Source organism: Homo sapiens, chromosome 10 (genome assembly GCF_000001405.40).
Source record: "Homo sapiens chromosome 10, GRCh38.p14 Primary Assembly".
NCBI classification, from domain to species: domain Eukaryota; kingdom Metazoa; phylum Chordata; class Mammalia; order Primates; family Hominidae; genus Homo; species Homo sapiens.
Window position 1 is genome coordinate 36483803 of NC_000010.11, and position 18996 is coordinate 36502798.

The window sequence follows — 18996 nt, forward strand, 5'->3', positions numbered from 1 at the left end:
GAAGTGCAAATTATTTTAGCAAGTTTATTGGGAAATAAATTATTAAGCAAAAATCAATTGTATTTCTACATATCAGCAAATACTAAAGGGATAGAGATTATAGAACTTTTACAAAAGCAGGAAAAATTGTCTACAGAAAAGATTATAAAATGTCATTGAGATATTAAATAAGACCTACAAATATTGAGAGGGAAACCATACTCAAAGATCAGAAGTCTCCAAACTATTAAATTGTTGATTTTCTCAAAAATGAGGTATAGATTAAAAGCAACTACGTTGAAAGTATCAGGAGGTTTTGCCCATTTTGTTTTTGCTTTTAAATGAAACTTGACCAGCTTATTTGAAGATTTTTATGGGCATGCAAAGGGCCATGAATAGTTAAGATGCTCTTGAGAAGAAAACATAAGATGGGAGGAATGCCTTTTCACATGTAATGTCTTACTGTACTTACACAGCTAGGTATTTAAGAAAATGTAGATTTGCTTCAGGGAAAGAGAAATTGAATAGGATGAGGAATTTGTATGTGAAACCCACACCCTTCTCTGGCACTAGAGACTCAACCGTCTCTATATATTTTCAGTATTTCCAGTTGGAGGCCCAATGAGCAACTAAAACTTCATGTATCCAACATTAGATTTCTAATCATTCTCCCAAACACCAACCCAGGCTCACTCTTACTCATCCTTTTCTTTCATATGCCATATCAATCTAGTTATATATTCTGTTGACTCTACTTTTAAAATACACAGCATTGACCTCTTCTTTCCTACGTCCATTTGAACCATCTGGTCAGAATTGTGATCATATCTGACATATACTTCTGCAATCGTCCCCTAATTGATCTCCCTGCTTTCCTTTTTACCCCAGACCCGGTCTTTTCTTCAACCAGCTGCCAGAAGGATTCTTTGAAACATAAATCTGATTGCTCCTCTCTGCAATGGCTTAAAGTCCTTATGATGCCCTAGAACCTTGCAAAACCTGTCCCATCATTTTGTGGCCTCTGCTCCTACTAATATCACTGGTCTTTTTGCTGTCTCATTAATCTGCCAGGTCTGCAGCTGCCTGTAGGCCTAGTCACTGCGAATGCTCTTCTTTTGGATGCCCATACTGCTATAATAACTTCCTCATCTTATTCACTCTTTGATGACCACCTTTCTTTCTTTTTTTGTTTTTTTTTTTGATATGGAGTCTCGCTCTGTCGCCCAGGCTGGACTGCAGTGGTGCAATCTTGGCTCACTGCAAGTTCAGCCTCCCAGGTTCACACCATTCTCCTTCCTCAGCCTCCCAAGTAGCTGGGACTACAGGTGCCTGCCACCACGCCCGGCTAATGTTTTTGTATTTTTAGTAGAGACGGGGTTTCACCGTGTTAGCCAGGATGGTCTCGATCTCCTGACCTCATGATCCGCCTGCCTCAGCCTCCCAAAGTGCTGGGATTACAGGCGTGAGCCACTGCGCTTCGCTTGATGATCACTTTTCAATGCACTTACTCTGACCAATCCAATTTAAATTGAAAACTACTCAACCCCTCTGTTCCTCCCCAGGACTACTTTTTCTCTTTTTGTATAGTACTTATCATCCTATAATATTTAAACAGAGGCTAGGCGTTGTGGTCCCTGTTTTAGTCCCAGCTACTTGGGAGGCTGAGGCAAGAGGATATCTGAGCCCAGGAGTTGGAGACCAGCCTGGGCATCATAGCGAGACCCTTTCTCAAAATACATATATATTTGAACAACTTATTTATTTACTATGTCCATTGTTTGCTATCTGATTCTTCTTACAAATGCACACACTCCATGAGGGCAGAAAGTCATTCCACATGTTCTGCATTGTTTATTGGTGAGCAGTGCCTGACCTACAGAACACTCTGTGTTGAAGTGAATGAGTAGAGAGTCTTAAGCAGATAATATAATACATAATATGAAGTCAGAAATGGGAAAATTGACTCTTGAATAAGTAGTGCTGATAACTGAATACTCATTTAGAAAAAGATACAGTATCTCACCCCAGCCAAATAAAGCAATTTCAGGATTATATTATATACTAAACATTTCTCTGTTTTTCCTTTCACGTTGAATAGAGATTCTAATTTTGATGTCACAAATCTATATAATGTCTTTTCTATCATAATTAGTGCTTTCATGTACTATGTAATATAAGAGAGTATGATAATTCCCTTGTTCTGCACAGAAAGCACAAGTTATGATATGAAAGATTGATACATTTGTGACTTAAAATTAGAATCTTGTATTCATCAAAAGTCACCATTAAGAGAGTAAAAAAGGCAAAATATCAATTCAGAAAAGACATTTGTTTTATATAAAACTGACAATGGATTAGTTTTCAGTATCTATAAGTAACTTCTACAAACAAAAAGAAAAACAGATAACCCCATAAAACATTGGACAAAAACTTGAATAGATACTTTTTATAAAAGACCCAAATTATATGCACTTACACATGCACAAATTTATATATATAAATATATACACACATATATAGTACACACAAATACATTAAACATATGTGTATGCAAATATGACGTATGTAATAAAAGTATTAATAATCACCAAATGCAAATTAAAACCCTAAAATACAAAATTACATACAATTAAAATATCGGCCAGGATGTAAAGTAACTCTCATTCATTGCTTGTGAAACTTTAAGCAGATACAAGTGCCTTGGAAAACTGTTGTTATTTAATAATCTGAAGATATATATCATGAGTTAACAACTGCACTCTTGGGAATACGCCCTGGATAGACCCTTGAAGTATGCACATCATGAATAATATGAAATAATGTTCATAGCAGCATTTTTCACAAGAGCCCAACATGGGAAGAAGTCTAAAAGCTCTCTAATGCTATGATAGATAAAATATTAAGTGATAGTCATACAGTGGAATGTTACACAAAAAATAGAAAACTGCTCCTTAGTACCTACAACAGAGGTGAATGTCACAGACATAGGTCAATCAGAGGAAGCAACAGATAGTGTGATATACATAGCACAATTCCATTCAGATGGAACTCCAAACGAAGGAAACTAAAATACAGTGTTTTTTTTTTTTTTTTCTTGAGACGGAGTCTCGCTGTCTCCCAGGCTGGAGTGCAGTGGGGCGATCTCGGCTCACTGCAAGCTTCGCCTCCCAGGTTCTCACCATTCTCCTGCCTCAGCCTCCCCAGTAGCTGGGACTACAGGCGCAAGCCACCATGCCCAGCTAATTTTTTGTATTTTTAGTGGAGATGGTGTTTCACCATGTTAGCCAGGATGGTCTCGATCTCCTGACCTCGTGATCCGCCCACCTCGGCCTCCCAAAGTGCTGGCATTACAGGCGTGAGCCACCGCGCCCAGCCTAAAATACAGTGTTTAATGAGATACACACAGGCAGTGGAAATATAAAACCAAAGAAGAAGGCAATTATTGTAACATTAGGAAAGTGTTTGGCTCCAGGGGACATGGAGGAGGAGGTGATGATAAGGAGGACGAAGGCAGGTTCTGGGATGTTTGTCATGTTCTCATTATTTTGACCTGTTTAAAGTGTTTTTTAAAATTTTTCCCATTCCCTTTACTGATTACAACTTACATATATGATTTATACATTTTTTCTGTATGAATGTTATTTTCCAAAATCGAAACAAGCCTACAGTTCTGAAGACCTTATCTTATAGTTAATTTTCCATATAACAACAGTGTTCTTCTCTCAGAAAATGTAAAGCTTAAGGTCCCTTAATTGTGCCAGTAAATATTTGCTGAACATCCACCTTGTGCCAGGTATCTTTCTAAGCACTGAGATTACGGTGAGGAATAAAATAGATGATATTTATAAGGTTGTCCTCAATGCAGCCTGCAATTTAAGGAAATTAATCCTGTGGCTTGATTTAAATCTCTGGCTTACCCTATGCAACTGTTTAACTCAGCCTTCCCATACGAAATAAGACACTGTGGAATATAGTAATATAGTTGGAAACTAAATTTCAGTCCCTTTACTCTCTTCCTAGTTGCATTACCAAAGAGCTTTCAGTCTATAGAGCCTTCATCTTTATAGAGGGGACCCTATTTCCTGTTCTATTGAGCCACAGGTCTTCTGTGGGGAAAAACATTACATATCAATGTACATTTAAAATCATGACAGTAATGTGATTTATTCAAATATTTAGATATATATTTGTATTGAAAGTTCTTTAAACAGTGGAATTGTATCTTCTACAGTCTTGCTCTCAATTTTTTCTTGGCAGGGCAAAGAGAATGAGGCCTTCCTTATCAAATGTGTGTGAGTGCTGCTTGCTGCCTGGTGGAGGATACTGAACATAGAAATGTCATAACTGAAGATTCCCGAGGGTGGCATTGGTATATAAACGGCAGTGGAGAAACTCTGCTTTTGGTGAAGCTACCAAATCTGTGTGTGTATATCTAGCAAAAATATACCACATTAAAGGATATCAAATTTACCATTTTAAGCATATAGTACAGTAGCATTAAGTACATTTGCACTATAATCCAACCATCACCGCCATTCATCTTCAGAATTTTTTTCTTCCCAAACTGAAGCTCTGTACACATTAAACAATAACTCCCTATTTCCCCTTCCCTCCAGAGGGCTGTACATTTGGAAAACTGTTATGATTCAGTTTTCCAACCTCCATTCTACTTTTTGTCTCTAGAAATATGATTATGCTAGGCATAATACTTCCCATAAACGGACTCATACAACCTATTTCCTTTTGTGTTTGGCTTGTGTCACTTAGCATGTTGTTTTCAAGGTTCTTTCATGTAGCATGTTTCAGAATTCCTCCTCTTTTAAGGCTGAATAATATTTCAATATGCCTATTTACCATATATTGTTTATCCGTGCATCTATCAATGAGTATTTGGATTGTTTTGGGTATTATTAAGTAATGCTGCTATTAACATGGGTATACAGATATCTGCCCAAGTCTCTGCTTTCAATTCTTTGAGGCACGTGCTCAGCAGTGGCATTTCCAAGTCACGTGATAATTCTATATTTAGTGTTTTGAGGGATAGCCTTACTGTTTTCCACAGCAGCTGCACCATTTTACACTCCACCACCTATGTAGAGGATTCACATTTCTCCAATCTGCACCAATATTTATTTTCTGTTTTTTCGTTTGTTTGGTTGTTAGTTTTTTAATCACAGCCATGCTAATGGGTGTGAAGCGGTATCTCATTGTCATTCTGACTTGCATTTCCCTAAGACCAATTTGTTTCCGAACCAGGACAATTTTCAGCTCCCACCCTACCACTACTTTCCCCACTCCTGCACCCTCATTTCCTTGCTTTTTTTTTTTTTTTTTTTTTTGAGATGGATTCTCACTCTGTCGCCAAGGCTGGAGTCCAGTGGTGCGATTTCAACTCACTGCAACCTCCACCTCCTGGGTTCAAGCAATTCTTCTGTCTCCAAGCAATTCTCCTGTCTCAGGCTCCAGAGTAGCTAGGATTACAGGCGCACATCACCATGACTGTCTAATTTTTGTATTTTTAGTAGAGACAGGGTTTCACCATATGCCAGGCTGGTCTGTAACTCCTGACCCACCCGCCTCGGCCTCCCAAAGTGCTGAGATTATAGGCGTGAGCCACCGCGCCTGGCCTTCCTTCCTCTTTTAAATAAGTGGTAGCTGAAAGAGTCTAGACTCTTGAGTACATTTCCCGACTAGTCTCTGACTTTTTCACAAGAAAGTCATTGTATGGCCACTCAAAGAAAACATTTTGATTATTCATATAATTTCACAGTGCCTGTGATAGCTCTGCTCAGCCCCTTTTTCTGAGGTGTGACATGCCATCTGTCAAAGTGAGAACAGGAACCCTCCTTTCCTTCAAGCTGTTGTCCTGCACACAGAACAAGTGAAAGATACTGGAAAACCCTCTGTTGGATTCTAAAGTTCTTTTGACCTTAGCTTGAAAATAAAAAAGAATCAGGAAATATTTTCTTGCTGGGTTGGAGCCAATGACTCTTGGCCAGAAATAACTGTGTAGAGTTCCTCTCGGCTGGACCCATGAGGCCAGGCCTTCAGGGGAGGTCCTGGAGTAGGGGAGCATGGTGAGACCAGCGCCTCTCATCTGAGTGCATCCACTTGGAGGAGATCTAGGGGAGGCTAGCTCCTTGAACTGAATCCTGTTTAGAGGAGGGGACCCAACTTGGGGAGAATTTTCTCTCCAAGCCCAGTGGGCAAGGCCTAGGAGCCGTAGCCTTCCTATCAGTTTATCCGAAAACCCTGATAGAAGTCAGCACATTTTTAAAAACACTTAAGTCCATTGTTTCCTTTTTGAGGGAGAAAAAAGTGCTAAAGAATGTTAAGCTCTTCTAGCAGCACTCTTACTCATAGCCAGATTGAATTTCTTTTTCCTTCATGGATTCCCTGAGGCATCATTATAATGAAAAAGTAGGCATCAGAAAAACACTTACCGGGTTGTGTCTGGAGAAAAAGTCACTTTTGGGACAACCCGTGTAAAAAATCTCTACACATTTTATTCTAATTACAGGTCTGCAAACCATTCTCATCTCCAGTGGATATTAGTGAACTACTGCCCCCTTGAAGGTCATGACCTTGGGCAACAGTAAGGGTTTGCCATCAAAAACAAGACTAAAATAACACTGATGGCTGCTTTCAGGAGGTCTGAGATGAGAGCTAGAGTTCTCCTCCCTAGGGCCCCTACATGGATTTACTCATGAGTTTACACACTTGAACTTCTCTGCCGTTTATCCTTAGGTATTGCCAGCTTCTCCCTTTTTGGCCTAGTCATTCTTTGTGTTTCTCATTCATTCCAGACTGCTCCCTTTTTTCTTTCTTCCTGTCTCAGTCAGCACAGGAGATAAAGGTTAACAGCGTTTTGAGTGTGACCTGTGAGGGAAATTGCTATTGTTTAATTCCAGTTTCTTGCCATGGAGTTATTTACTTATCTTTCTATTAAATCCTCATAGCATGTTACTCCTTTTTCTTATGTTTTCACACAATGCCCTTTATTTCAACTGATTACTTGTTTTGATTTTCCTTAGCCTATCTTATTTTTGCATTTCCTAAGAGTCTTCCTGTGGCAGCACATTTCATAACCACTATTTGATTTGTAAATTTATCTTTGTGGACCATCTTCCACTCCCAGATGATTACATGAACAAGTAGCTTGGTTGTAGACTTGTTCTTTAGAATACAGTGCCTTAGATTAAGATGAGAACTGGGCCGGGTGTGGTGGCTCACGCCTGTAATCCCAGCACTTTGTGAGGCCAAGGCGGGTGGATCACGAGGTTAGGAGATCAAGACCATCCTGGCTAACATGGTGAAACCCTGTCTCTACTAAAAATACAAAACATTAGCCGGGCATGGTGGCGGGTGCCAGAAGTCCCAGCTACTCAGGAGGCTGAGGCAGGAGAATGGCGTGAACCCGAGAGGCGGAGCTTGCAGTGAGCCGAGATCTCACCACTGCACTCCAGCCTGGGCGACAGAGCAAGACTCTGTCTCAAAAAAAAAAAAAAAAAAAATGAGAACTGAACTGAGATGAAGACTTCTTTAACATAGTGCCATCTGGGAAAGGACCAGCATCTATGGGAATCAACTTTGACAGATGCAATGAGGTTTTGGGGGACATCACTATGATTCATAATATGGTCATGTAATTGCTGGACAATGACATATTTTATTTTAGAACACTTTTAATTTTTCAATGAACTTCCTTTTAGATTTAGAGTTTGGTTTTTAGACCAACTCTGTGTGGTAGCTACAATAGGTCCAAACATTCTCATTTCCTAGATAAAGACACTGAATATAAAGATATAAGTGCACGTCCTCTATATGGGCACCTGTTATATTGTCTCACACATAGTTAAGGGTTTATTCATTTATCAACAAACATCTATTTAGTTTCTATTGCCATATCAGGTACATTGGTAGGTGTCGGCGATAAAAAGAACAATACAGACAACAATAAAAAAATCACCTAATCGAAAGTGATCGATCAGTCTATTAGGGAATTAATAACAATAATGGTATCGTAAGCATGTGTTTCAAACTCTTATTAATTTCATTGGTAGTGGAATAATGTGTCTGTTTAGCAAAATCCTACAGATTTTGTTATTAGGTAACAACTCATAGCAAAAACCCACATGGAAAGCTGAGAGAACAGTAGGCAGAATTATTTTATTTGCTCTGTATGACTTTCAAAGACCTATGAAACTGATTATTTAAACAAATTCTAAAAGAGCATGTTCTGAAAGCCTGAAATACTTGTTAGAATGAATTATTCTTTCTCCTTCTAATGGACAAAGCAGGCCCTAAACAGGAGAATGCTAGTATTCTTCTTTGCTCTACTGTCTCAGGTCCCTGGGGAGGGGAGTTCCCAGTTATACACAGCACTCCCTCCACACATGTAAGATGCATTTAGTTCTTATGTCAGAGCCCCCACTCTCCTACCTGCCATCTGGGCTGTCCTGTGTACTTACAGCCGTTTGTCACTCATCTCATATCTTTCCAATAGTGAATTTTTAAGTGGGGAATGGAGTCCAGGAAGAACACCATGAAGCTCAACAAGGGAGGAAGAGGGTCTGGATGATATCATCATTATGTCTCGATCTCCCTCAGTCTACCATACAACTCCTGCCGAGGCTTCTAGAATATTCTGTTACTTCAGCTTGTTAGCCCATGTGATACAGAGATATTGCTCACTGTCCAAATGGTCACCCATAATGGAAAGCTGAGCCATACAGAAGGGACATTGCCCACAGGGATAAAGAGGGTACATGCAGGAAAAATCATCCTTATTTTCACCACATTCCATGTTGCTCCATTTTGTTGGATTGGTTATTTTTCTTTTTCTCTGTGCTCCAAAAATTATCAGGCCTCTCATCGACCCAAAGTGGCCTAGATTTGTTCTTATTTCTTTGACTGAGTGTCTCACAAAGTGATCTGACCTTTTACAAAACCTTTTGTCACTTGTTTGAGAAAAATCAAGAGAGCTAGCTCCATCTCCTGATAAAATGCCATGCTACAATTATTTCATTGCCTGGGAAAGTGATTGAATCCCATAATAGAAGAAATAGCATCCACTTTTTAAAGAACTGGGCTGATGTTTTGAAAAGGTCAATTCTCTTCTGTGGAAAACTGCAAAAAATATCCAAATTCACATCTCACTTCACCTAGAGTCAGAACGTCTCTGCCATAAAAACCCAGACTGCAGAGCATCCAAGTCAAAGTGGGCTCAGGACCAGGAAAAATGTTACAGCTCTGCCATGAAGCCATGGTGAGCACGATTCCTGTGAGTCATTAAACCAAATAAATAATCATAATAGAACCTTCTGTAGCTGTTCTCTAGTAGAACTTGCTTTATTTTTCAGTCCACTTCTATATAAGTTTGTAACTTCTTTTCATATCTGTTGTTTGAGGTAGGTAGAATAGATATGGGGATAGTAAATTGCAAGTTTCCAGACAAGGAAACTGAGCTGATTTGCATAAAATTCAATGTTCAGCTCATAGCAGGACCAGGATCACTACTTTCTTTGCAGGCAGTGTGTGTGTGTGTGTGTGTGTGTGTGTGTGTTTTCCACTTAGACCAGTTGGAGCCAGAAGCTGACATATGCCAAACTGCTGTCCCTTTTGGTAACTATACGAAGTTGTCTTGGCTTTGTGTTCCAGAATCATTAACAAACACTTCTATGCTTTTCTACTTGAAACTATAATTGTCAGTAAATAATTCAAAATATATCCAAAATTAAGATAAATATACTGATTTTTGATATTTAATACTTACCCTCTCCAATTATACAATTAATGCATCAGGAGAAAGAATTGCCATGTCTGAACCCCTGAAGTCATATGATACACTTAGACATCACAGTGACCTTCCACTTTTGGAATGTATGACTGGTCCATAAATTTAATTTTGAAGGAACTCAACATAGGAAAATATGTTGCTTTGTAAATGCATTATCTCGCTGTTAAAATACATCAAATAGCTTTTCTGTCATTCAGGTTTGTATGTGACTTCCAATTTTTAAATTTTATTGTGATAATAATGAATTTGTAATATTTTATTCCTGATTGCAGGGGAAGCTTAGAAAGGATGCCATGTCTTTACTGATTGATTAAGGCTGGTTTAAAGAAATCAAATATGTACCAAAATGATGAAATTTTCTTCACCTAAAAAGTCATCACTTTCAAAGCAAATATCCAGCTTCTCCTTCCTCTGTCTAATTGCCAGCCGCTAACCCCCTCCCCCATATCTTATTTTCCTTGATAACAGAAAAAGAGTGGAACCTTTAAAGAGTGTTTTAAACTGTATAACTGGCAGTACCGCTGTGCACTTTGTGCGCTTGGGCTGCCTTCTGACCCTCCACAGCTGAAAAATTATTTCTCCCTCATACTCTATGCCTCAGCAAAGCTCCATTCTCTCTGACTTGCCGGTTCTGGCACTGTCCAAGCACATTAGACCTGGTTGTCCCGCACTCTACCTTGAAATAGAAATTCTCATAGAGGATGATTTTTCACTTCTGGTACCTGCCTGTAGGCATTTCTCACCACGCCTACATAGAACTACTCAAAGGAAAGGATATGTGTGGTGTGCGTATGTTGTGTTTTCTCTCTTTAATGGCATGGATGAAAAGAAGAGGATTTGCAGTATATTAGCACTGTTGGCGTCCAGATGGCTGCTATAAAAATAAAGACATGGCTGAGAATCAACAGAAAACTTCCATCCCATCAAGACGTCAACACTACCAGCACTGTCTGTGCTACTGAGTGCTTGCTGCAGCCACACCTACTAATGGACAAAGATGAGAAGTTGTGAGTGGGATTTTTGAGTCATCAGCTAGTTGATGATGGATTTAATGAGTCAGTGCAAACAAATCACTTTGGATTTTAATATGTACTGCTTTCAGCTTACATATCCTTGAGATATTGTTAGTCTCTGCCTGCTAAGAGATTCCAGTGGCCACAAAATCCATCTTTTTTTTCATATTTTCACTGCTGGAGTTGAGTCTCCACTCTCAGTTCCATTAACACTCGTCCTTTTGTTTGAAATAATCCCCTGCTTTTTGCTTCTTGCCTACCTTGTTCCACGTTAGGGCCTTCAGGAGTCAGAAATTTGTGTGATATAGGGGAGCGGGAGCCCCTGTATTCTGCATATTTTCATGGTTGTCCTAGTGTGAAATCTTCATTGGCTAACTTGTGTGGTTTGCTTTGAATGTAAATTTCATAAACTTGTGTGTGTACATTGTTTGAAATACATTAAAATATGTTCATATCAAAGGATTTAATTTGATACTAAAATACTTTTGGAGGAAGATAGGAAAAGCATTGTTTCCATTTAAAGACAAGAAGACTAAGGCTTAGAGAATTCATGATCTTGTTCTTGAATTTTAGACTCCAAGTTCTAAGTCTATTTTTCCACATACTCACATTATTTTACTATATGTTTGTGTAATCCTGGAAAACTTACTGTTTGACTTGTTTCTTCCCAAAAGCAAGGGTGATTGGATGAAGGTCGGCCATAGGATGAAGGAAGGTGGTCCATAGGATAAGGAACAGAAAGTGGAGGCATTTAGTCTCAAATGTCTCTTAGTTACTATCAGGGAAACAATAAAATTACAAAACAGCTATCTTCAGGGAGAATATAATTAAAGGTTATATTGCCACATCGTGCTCCACAGTGGGCAAGAGGGAGAATGCATCTAATATTTCTTGAGTTTCTCCCAGGTGTCATGTTAGACTCTGTTACATCATTACATTTACTTCTCACCAGAACTTTGTGAGTAGATTACTAGCCTCATTTTTAACAGAATTACATACTGGTGCTCTATGAGTTTAATTAGCATGTGAAGGTCACACAAATAGTTAAGTGCCAGAGCCTTGATTTGAATCTGTCTTGTCTTTTTTTTTATTTAATTTTTAAAAATTTGTTAATTGATACATGATAGTTGTAAATATCTCAGGGGTCTGTGACATTTTGATACATGCATACAATATACAATGATCAAATCAGGGTAATTGGGATATCCATCACCTAAAACACTTAACTCTTCTTATTGTTGGGACCCAAGTCTTTTCACTGCAAAGTCAATAGATGAGAGAGACCCAGCTGTAAGAAACAGATCATAGAAGCACAACAGAAACAGGCAGACACCTAGAGCAGCCAGAAAAAAAATACGGGTAACAGAGAGGTCTGCGCCTAATGACTGCCAATGAGGTCGCTGGTGGCATGTTCTCTTCTTGGGTCTGTACCTCTTTGTCCTCAGCATGCATTTGTCACATATCTATGTTTTATTTACTTATAGTTAGGGAATATCTTAAAATATTTTGACCCCTCCCAATATTTGACTATGGAAGAAATAGTTTAATCATATCTTTGTTTATCTGCCTATTTAATTCTCTATTTCAACACTTAACTTTCTTTATACTGGGAGAAAAGCAAACATTAAAAATATTTATTAATATATAGAGGCTTTTTTTTTTCTTTTTCTTTTTCTTTTTTGAGATGCAGTCTTACTCTGTCACCCAGGCTGGAGTGCAGGGGAGCGATTTTGGCCCACTGCAACCTCTGTCTCCCAGGTTCAAGCAATTCCCCTGCCTCAGCCTACTGAGTAGCTGGGATTACAAGTGTGCACCACCATGCCCAGCTGATTTTTGTATTTTTAGTAGAGACGGGGTTTCATCATGTTGGCCAGGCTGGTCTTGAACTCCTGACCTCAGGTGATCTGCCCACCTCGGCCTCCCAAAGTGGTGGGATTACAGGTGTGAGCTACCATGCCCAGCCTAGAGATTCATTTGAAAGCAATAATATTTGCAGCACAATCTGAATTATAGAATGAAGTTAAAGGAGAAAGGAGGTGTTTTGATAGCATGAACTAAAAATTGAAGGAAAACTTGATGAAATATTCAGTGTTGGAAGGAAGATTACACAGAAGATGTGGGAGAGACCTTGGCATCTCTGATTTCCATGAAACCAATGAAGTATTTCATTAAGCTATCTAATGAAAACAAAAGAAAAATCTCTCAATTATACTAAAATCTTTCTTGTTTCGGAATGTTGTTACAACAACTTTTAGACTAAAATATTTTCCAACAATTTCTTGTGTGATATTCCAATAGCTTCTCACATAAATCATGAGCTCTGTACCCACCCAGAAATAATAACAGAAAAAGGAACAAAAGTTCATATCACTAAGAGAAAAATAAATGGAATCTGTTTTTCCATGAAAAATCTCCAGCCAATTTATGTCTCTGTGGAAAATATTTATCTGAAGTAAACAATCTCTAATATTTCCTTAAACATATTTTGTAACCTCAATTGTAATATAAAGTATTTGAATCTCAAAGTGCCAATGATTGATTGTCTAAATATTTATTCTGTGCAATACACTCACAGAATTATTTTATTAAATTGGGAATCTTAACAATGATTCATTGTAGGGCTTTCAGAAATTGCTCAGGATTATATTTGTGGAACCCACATTCAGCCCCCAGCACTCTGCTGCCATCAGATTCAACCATCACCTTCAAATAATCGGTCACAGACAAGCTTTTGAAGAATATACTGCTCTGAGTATATATGGGCTTCCAACAATTTATGTTCTAAGGCATCAATCTGAAGTTGAATTTCTTAGTATAAAAATCACCGCATTCTGAAGCATTCTATGCTTTCAAGATGAAAGGTGCTTCAGGATGCTTTAAATTCTTTGATAAAACTAGCAATTAACATTTATTGTTCCTGTGCCCAGCACCATGCTAAATTATTCATATGCATATTTTTATTTAATCCTCATTGCAACCCTGTATGGTAGAGATCATCATTATTCCTCTTCTACCTATGAGGATACTTGATCTTAAAGGAGTTTAACAAAGTTACCTAAGGTACAAGGTAGAACCAGGATTTCAGCAAATGCTATTCTGACCACAGAGACCAAGTTCTTGTACATTTCAATATACCCTCAGAAGAAAAAAAAAATACTGTAGTTTTTGGATAAGGGCCAGGTTCAGAAAACATGAAGGCACTCATATGGAACACCATCTCTAACTGCCGGCTCTATTAAATTGGCCCCACTCTGTGATGTACACAATGTCTCTGGTGGGGCTTCCCTAGAAGCACAACCTAAGATGAGTTTTTGGATGCTTGTAAGTTCCACGGGAAGTGACCCCCTGAATTGGAAACAGAGTGAGAAAGTAGACGAGAGAAGAAGGAAGGATTTGGAAGGGGCTAGTACTAAGGACAACTGGGATTATATCCTGCTGGGATCTTTAAGAAAAGTAGAACAGTTGTTCCTCCCAGGGAGCCAAAACTGGGGGATATTTAAACACTGACTCCTGATGCTCATTGGTCGAGGTTGGCTTCCTGGAAAGTTAACTTCCTGACCTTTCTGGAGTGCACACTCCTGCCCTAATAGGTTCTGGGGGACCTAAGAAACCCTTCAGGCAGGCTGGGCACAGTGGCTCATGCCTGTAATCCCAGCACTTTGGGAGGCCAAGGAGGGTGCATCACCTGAGGTCAGGAGTTTGAGACCAGCCTGGCCAACATGGTGAAACCCTGTCTCTACTAAAAATACAAAATCTCATCGGGTGTGGTGGTGCATGCCTGCAGTCCCAGCTACTTGGGAGCCTGAGGCAGGAGAATCACTTGAACTCAGAAGGTGGAGGTTGCAGTGAGCTGAGATTGCACCACCGCACTCTAGCCGTGGTCAACAGAGTGAGACTCAGTCTCAAAAAAAAAAGAAACCCTTCAGGCAGAGAGTCACAGGTGCTCACCATTGGAATGTATTGAAATTGCAAGTGCAATACGAGAAGGCCAATGATCTGTCTACTACAGATAATCAATTTAACTTATATAATTTTCTAATCATTACAGAGAGAAATTTGCATACTCCAAGTGGATTTCAGATAACCAAAAATCTATAGAACTATGACCAATTTTTTTCTTTTATATTTTTCTCCATGAAGTTGTGTTTCCATGAATTATAAAACCTTAAGTGTAGGGGCTTCAAATTATTTTTCTGTATGTCCATGTAAGTAGACTCTAATAGAAACTTTGTAAATGTGTGTTGATTTCAATTAAATGTATTGAATAGATATTTGTTACATACCCACTGTGTGCATGACACTGGTTTCATTATGGGGTACACACAATATTTCTTCACAATTCCTGCATGTGCAATATATATACTTAAATTGAAAAGCCAAGAGAGGCACATTAGAAACTAAGTACAACCAGTGTTCCTAGGTATAATTAACAAGTCAGCCAACTCCACTGCAAATGCACAGAAGAATTGGTGATGTTAGAAAAGATACTACAGAAAAACAGGGCTTTCTGAAAAACTGGTAGAGTTTATGTGGACGGAAAGAGCAGGGGACCGCCTTCTGGCTAGGAGGTGGGGTGCTGGCCTTAGACAAGACTGTATAATACAACCTTAAAGGACACAGATCAAGCTGTGGCTGCTGACAGCTCATCAGTTCTATAGGCTAGCTACTGAAGAGTCTTTAAAAAGTTTTTAATTTAGTGGTGCTATCGTAAAACCAGTATTTTAAGAACATGATTTAGCAGAACTATTCAAGGTAGTTTAGAGGAGTAAAATATTCATGATGAAAGTCCATACAAAAGGGCTAGGCTATTCCAAGCAATGGAAGTAATTAAGAAAGAACACCGGTGAAATCTTTTTCTTCTTGGTGATATAAAATGTGAGAAGTGGCTGGGCGTGGTAGCTCATGCCTGTAATCCCAGCACTTTGGGAGGCTGGGGCAGGTGGATTACCTGAGGTCTCGACCAGCCTGACCAATATGGTGAAACTCTATCTCTACTAAAAATACAAAAATTAGCCAGGCATGGTGGCTGGCGCCTGTAGTCCCAGCTATTTGGGAGGCTGAGGCAGGAGAATTGCTTGAATCTGGGATGGGGAGGTTATAGTGAGTCGAGATTGTGCCACTGTGCTCCAGCCTGGGCAACAGAGCAAGAGTCTGTCTCAGAAAAAAAAAAAAAATGTGAGAAGTACTTGTCTCTGCTAAGAAATGGGACTAAGTCATGGTGCTGAGGCATGTGGAGTTTAGAATGGTGATGGACCATCTGGACAGCAAAAAGATTAGTGAGTGACTGGTAGAAAGGAAATATGAATTGCAGATACAGGTTTATGTGTCAAATAAATGGAAATGAGTCATGAAGTTAAAAACCACTCATCTGTATTTAATACTAAGAATATGAAAAGGAATGAGGTAGGAGCAGACTGTTGGGTTCTAAATCTTTAGGAAATACTTATAGTTTATAAATTGGAAGCTTGAGAGAAAAATCCAGAAAAAGAAAGAAAAAAGGAAAAATAACAGGCAGGAGAATCTGGACTAAAAAGTGCTTCAGTTATCAAATGAGATCAGTTTCAAGAAATGAAATATAAGGTGGCTTTCAGTAGTTATTACTACAAAAGTTTCGCTTTCTATGATTTTTAAATCATCAATAAAATATTTTAAATTCAGAGGAAGTAAGTATAAAGACTCAAAGTTCTATTTTCAGGTTTGATATCAATCCACATTTTTAACACATTAAGTTGTATTTTCAGTAATACACCACCCCTCTTATATTCTGTGTGTTTATATTTGGCAAACTTATTAGGTTACAGTTGACTTCTAGTCCCATGCTGCTTCTGTTGGGAAATACAAAGCTTTCTAAGGGGAAATCTTGTATCTCCTTTGAATCCTATATTAGCTATGTCTGCTGCAAGTTCATTCTGCACTGCGATAGCATTGAGTTAAAAATGATCTTTTGACAAGACTTTTGTTTATTTAGACACTAAAGTGAACTAGGAGACAGCTTGTAATAGAATGCTGGCTATTACTTTTTTTATAGCATTCTATTACCAAAATACTATGGAAGTGAGGAATTTAGTTGATTTTTTTTTTTTTTTGGCAGATTCCAAGAAGGATTAAAAGCCATGTAGAATGTCTCTCACACTCCCAATTGAAGTAGGAGTGTTATTTGGAAGTGTTTTCCATTTACGGAAAACCAAAAATCCTCTAAATTCAGTCAATGTGTTTAGAACTTTGTTAAGCTTGAAGTTATGATTCTACTATAATCATGTGTCCTTTTTCTCTTTAGGATAATGAAGAAAAGTAACAGAAAAATAACTTTTTTTTTCTTAGAGACTTGATAGAGATTTGTTTTAGGATTTTTAAGATTTTTGGCCAATTTGTTGGTGCAACATAAGAAAAGTGTTCAGGTTGAAGATATTCTGAAATCAAGTTATTCCTGCAGGAATGCAAATCAAATGTTGATTAAAAGTTGTTTGGATCACTGAGAAACAAAAGAAGAACTGAAACAACACATATATAGTAGTCATTGACAAGGAGATATACCTTTTTTATTTTTATTTTTTTTGAGATGAAGTTTAGCTCTTGTTGCCCAGGCTGGAGTGCAATGGCGCAGTCTAAGCTCACTGCAACCTCAGTCTCCCAGGTTCAAGCGGTTCTCCTGCCTCAGCCTCCCAAGTAGCGGGGATTATAGGTGCCTGCCACCACACCCAGCTAATTTTTTTGTATTTTTAGTAAAGATGGGGCTTCACCATGTTGGCCAGGCTGGTCTTGAACTCCTGACCTCAGGTGATCCGCCTGCCTTGGCCTCCCAAAGTGCTGGGACTACAGGCGTGAGCCACCGTGCCCGGCCTGAGATATATCTTAATACATAAATTCTGTATGGGCAAATTAAACCCATCACCTTGCCCCTTATATATCTGCTTCTTCATTTATCTAAGCATCTACACCAGCCTCACTCTTTGTCCTCATGCCCTTCACTACCCATGAGTCAATCTTTGCTGGATGTGTCAATCTACCCCATCCTTGCTGTGCCTTCAATGCAGACATTTTCTCCTATTGCTCTGTCAGAATAAACTTATGAAGGCCAATCCTAGTGGCACCCTAATAGATAAATATGAGCGGTTAAGCAAGAAGACCTGAGAAAATTATTGAGTGGCAAAATTTGATTATTCTGTGAAATCTGCTAAGAGGTAGAGAGAGTATCCCTTCCAACTCATCCTGCATAAAATACTCTTGCATTTAAACCTAGCTCAGATCTCTCTTCTGTGGATTTTCTGGGCCCCTTGAGTCCAAAGTGATGTTTTTCTATTCTGTGATTCCTGACAATTTGTTTGCATCACAACTGAAGGACCTACTATATTTGCCTTGATTGGCACACTTATAATACTCATGAGATGATAAGCTCTGAGGAAAGATCTGGCCCTTTTGATACTTTTTCCCTTCCATGTATAATATTATTTTTATAATCTATTAAGCACTCAATGTATTTTGATGAAATGGAATTGAAGCAACTTCTATATACTCTATCTTTTCATCTGTGAACTATGGTGGGTTCTTTGTTTAAAGTCCCTCTTATCCATAGGATTCTAGAATTCTATGATATGAATCTTCATCATTATTAGTATAGATTGTAAGTATATTTATTTTATTTTATTTTATTTTTTTGAGATGGAGCCTCACTGTGTTGGCTAGGCTGAAGTGCAGTGGCACAACCTCGGTTCACTGCAACCTCCACCTCCTGGGTTCAAGCGATTCTCCTACCTCAGCCTCCCAAGTAGCTGGGACTACAGATGCGCGCCACCAGGCCCAGCTAATTTTTGTATTTTTAGTAGACTTGGGTTTTCACCATATTGGTCAGACTAGTCTTGACCTCCTGACCTCATGATCCACCCGCCTCGGCTTCCCAAAGTGCTGGGATTACAGGCATGAGCCACCACACCCGGCCACCTGTAAGTATATTTCTAACTGGATCGTGTCTACTTCTAAAAGAATGAGTAGGCCAGTCGCGGTGGCTCACGCCTGTAATCCCAGCACTTTGGGAGGCCAAGACGGATGGATCATGAGGTCAGGAGTTCAAGACCAGCCTGACCAACATGGCGAAACCCCGTCTCTACTAAAAATACAAAAATTAGCTGGGCATGGTGGCACGCACCTGTAATCCCAGCTACTCGGGAGGCTGGGGCAGGAGAATCACTTGAACCTGGGAGATGGAGG

At 39.0% G+C, this 18996-nt stretch overlaps 2 annotated features.

Annotated features, from left to right (window-relative positions):
* Positions 220-721: an enhancer, noted in NCBI's record as "NANOG hESC enhancer chr10:36772950-36773451 (GRCh37/hg19 assembly coordinates)". NCBI's record gives its function as "activates a minimal SCP1, AML or CMV promoter by ChIP-STARR-seq in naive H9 embryonic stem cells {active_cell/tissue: H9 hESC(naive)}" and the evidence as "EXISTENCE:reporter gene assay evidence [ECO:0000049][PMID:30033119]".
* Positions 10073-11272: an enhancer, noted in NCBI's record as "P300/CBP strongly-dependent group 1 enhancer chr10:36782803-36784002 (GRCh37/hg19 assembly coordinates)". NCBI's record gives its function as "activates an origin of replication core promoter dependent on BRD2, BRD4, P300/CBP, MED14 and CDK7 cofactors, with strong dependence on P300/CBP, by STARR-seq in HCT116 cells {active_cell/tissue: HCT116}" and the evidence as "EXISTENCE:reporter gene assay evidence [ECO:0000049][PMID:35650434]".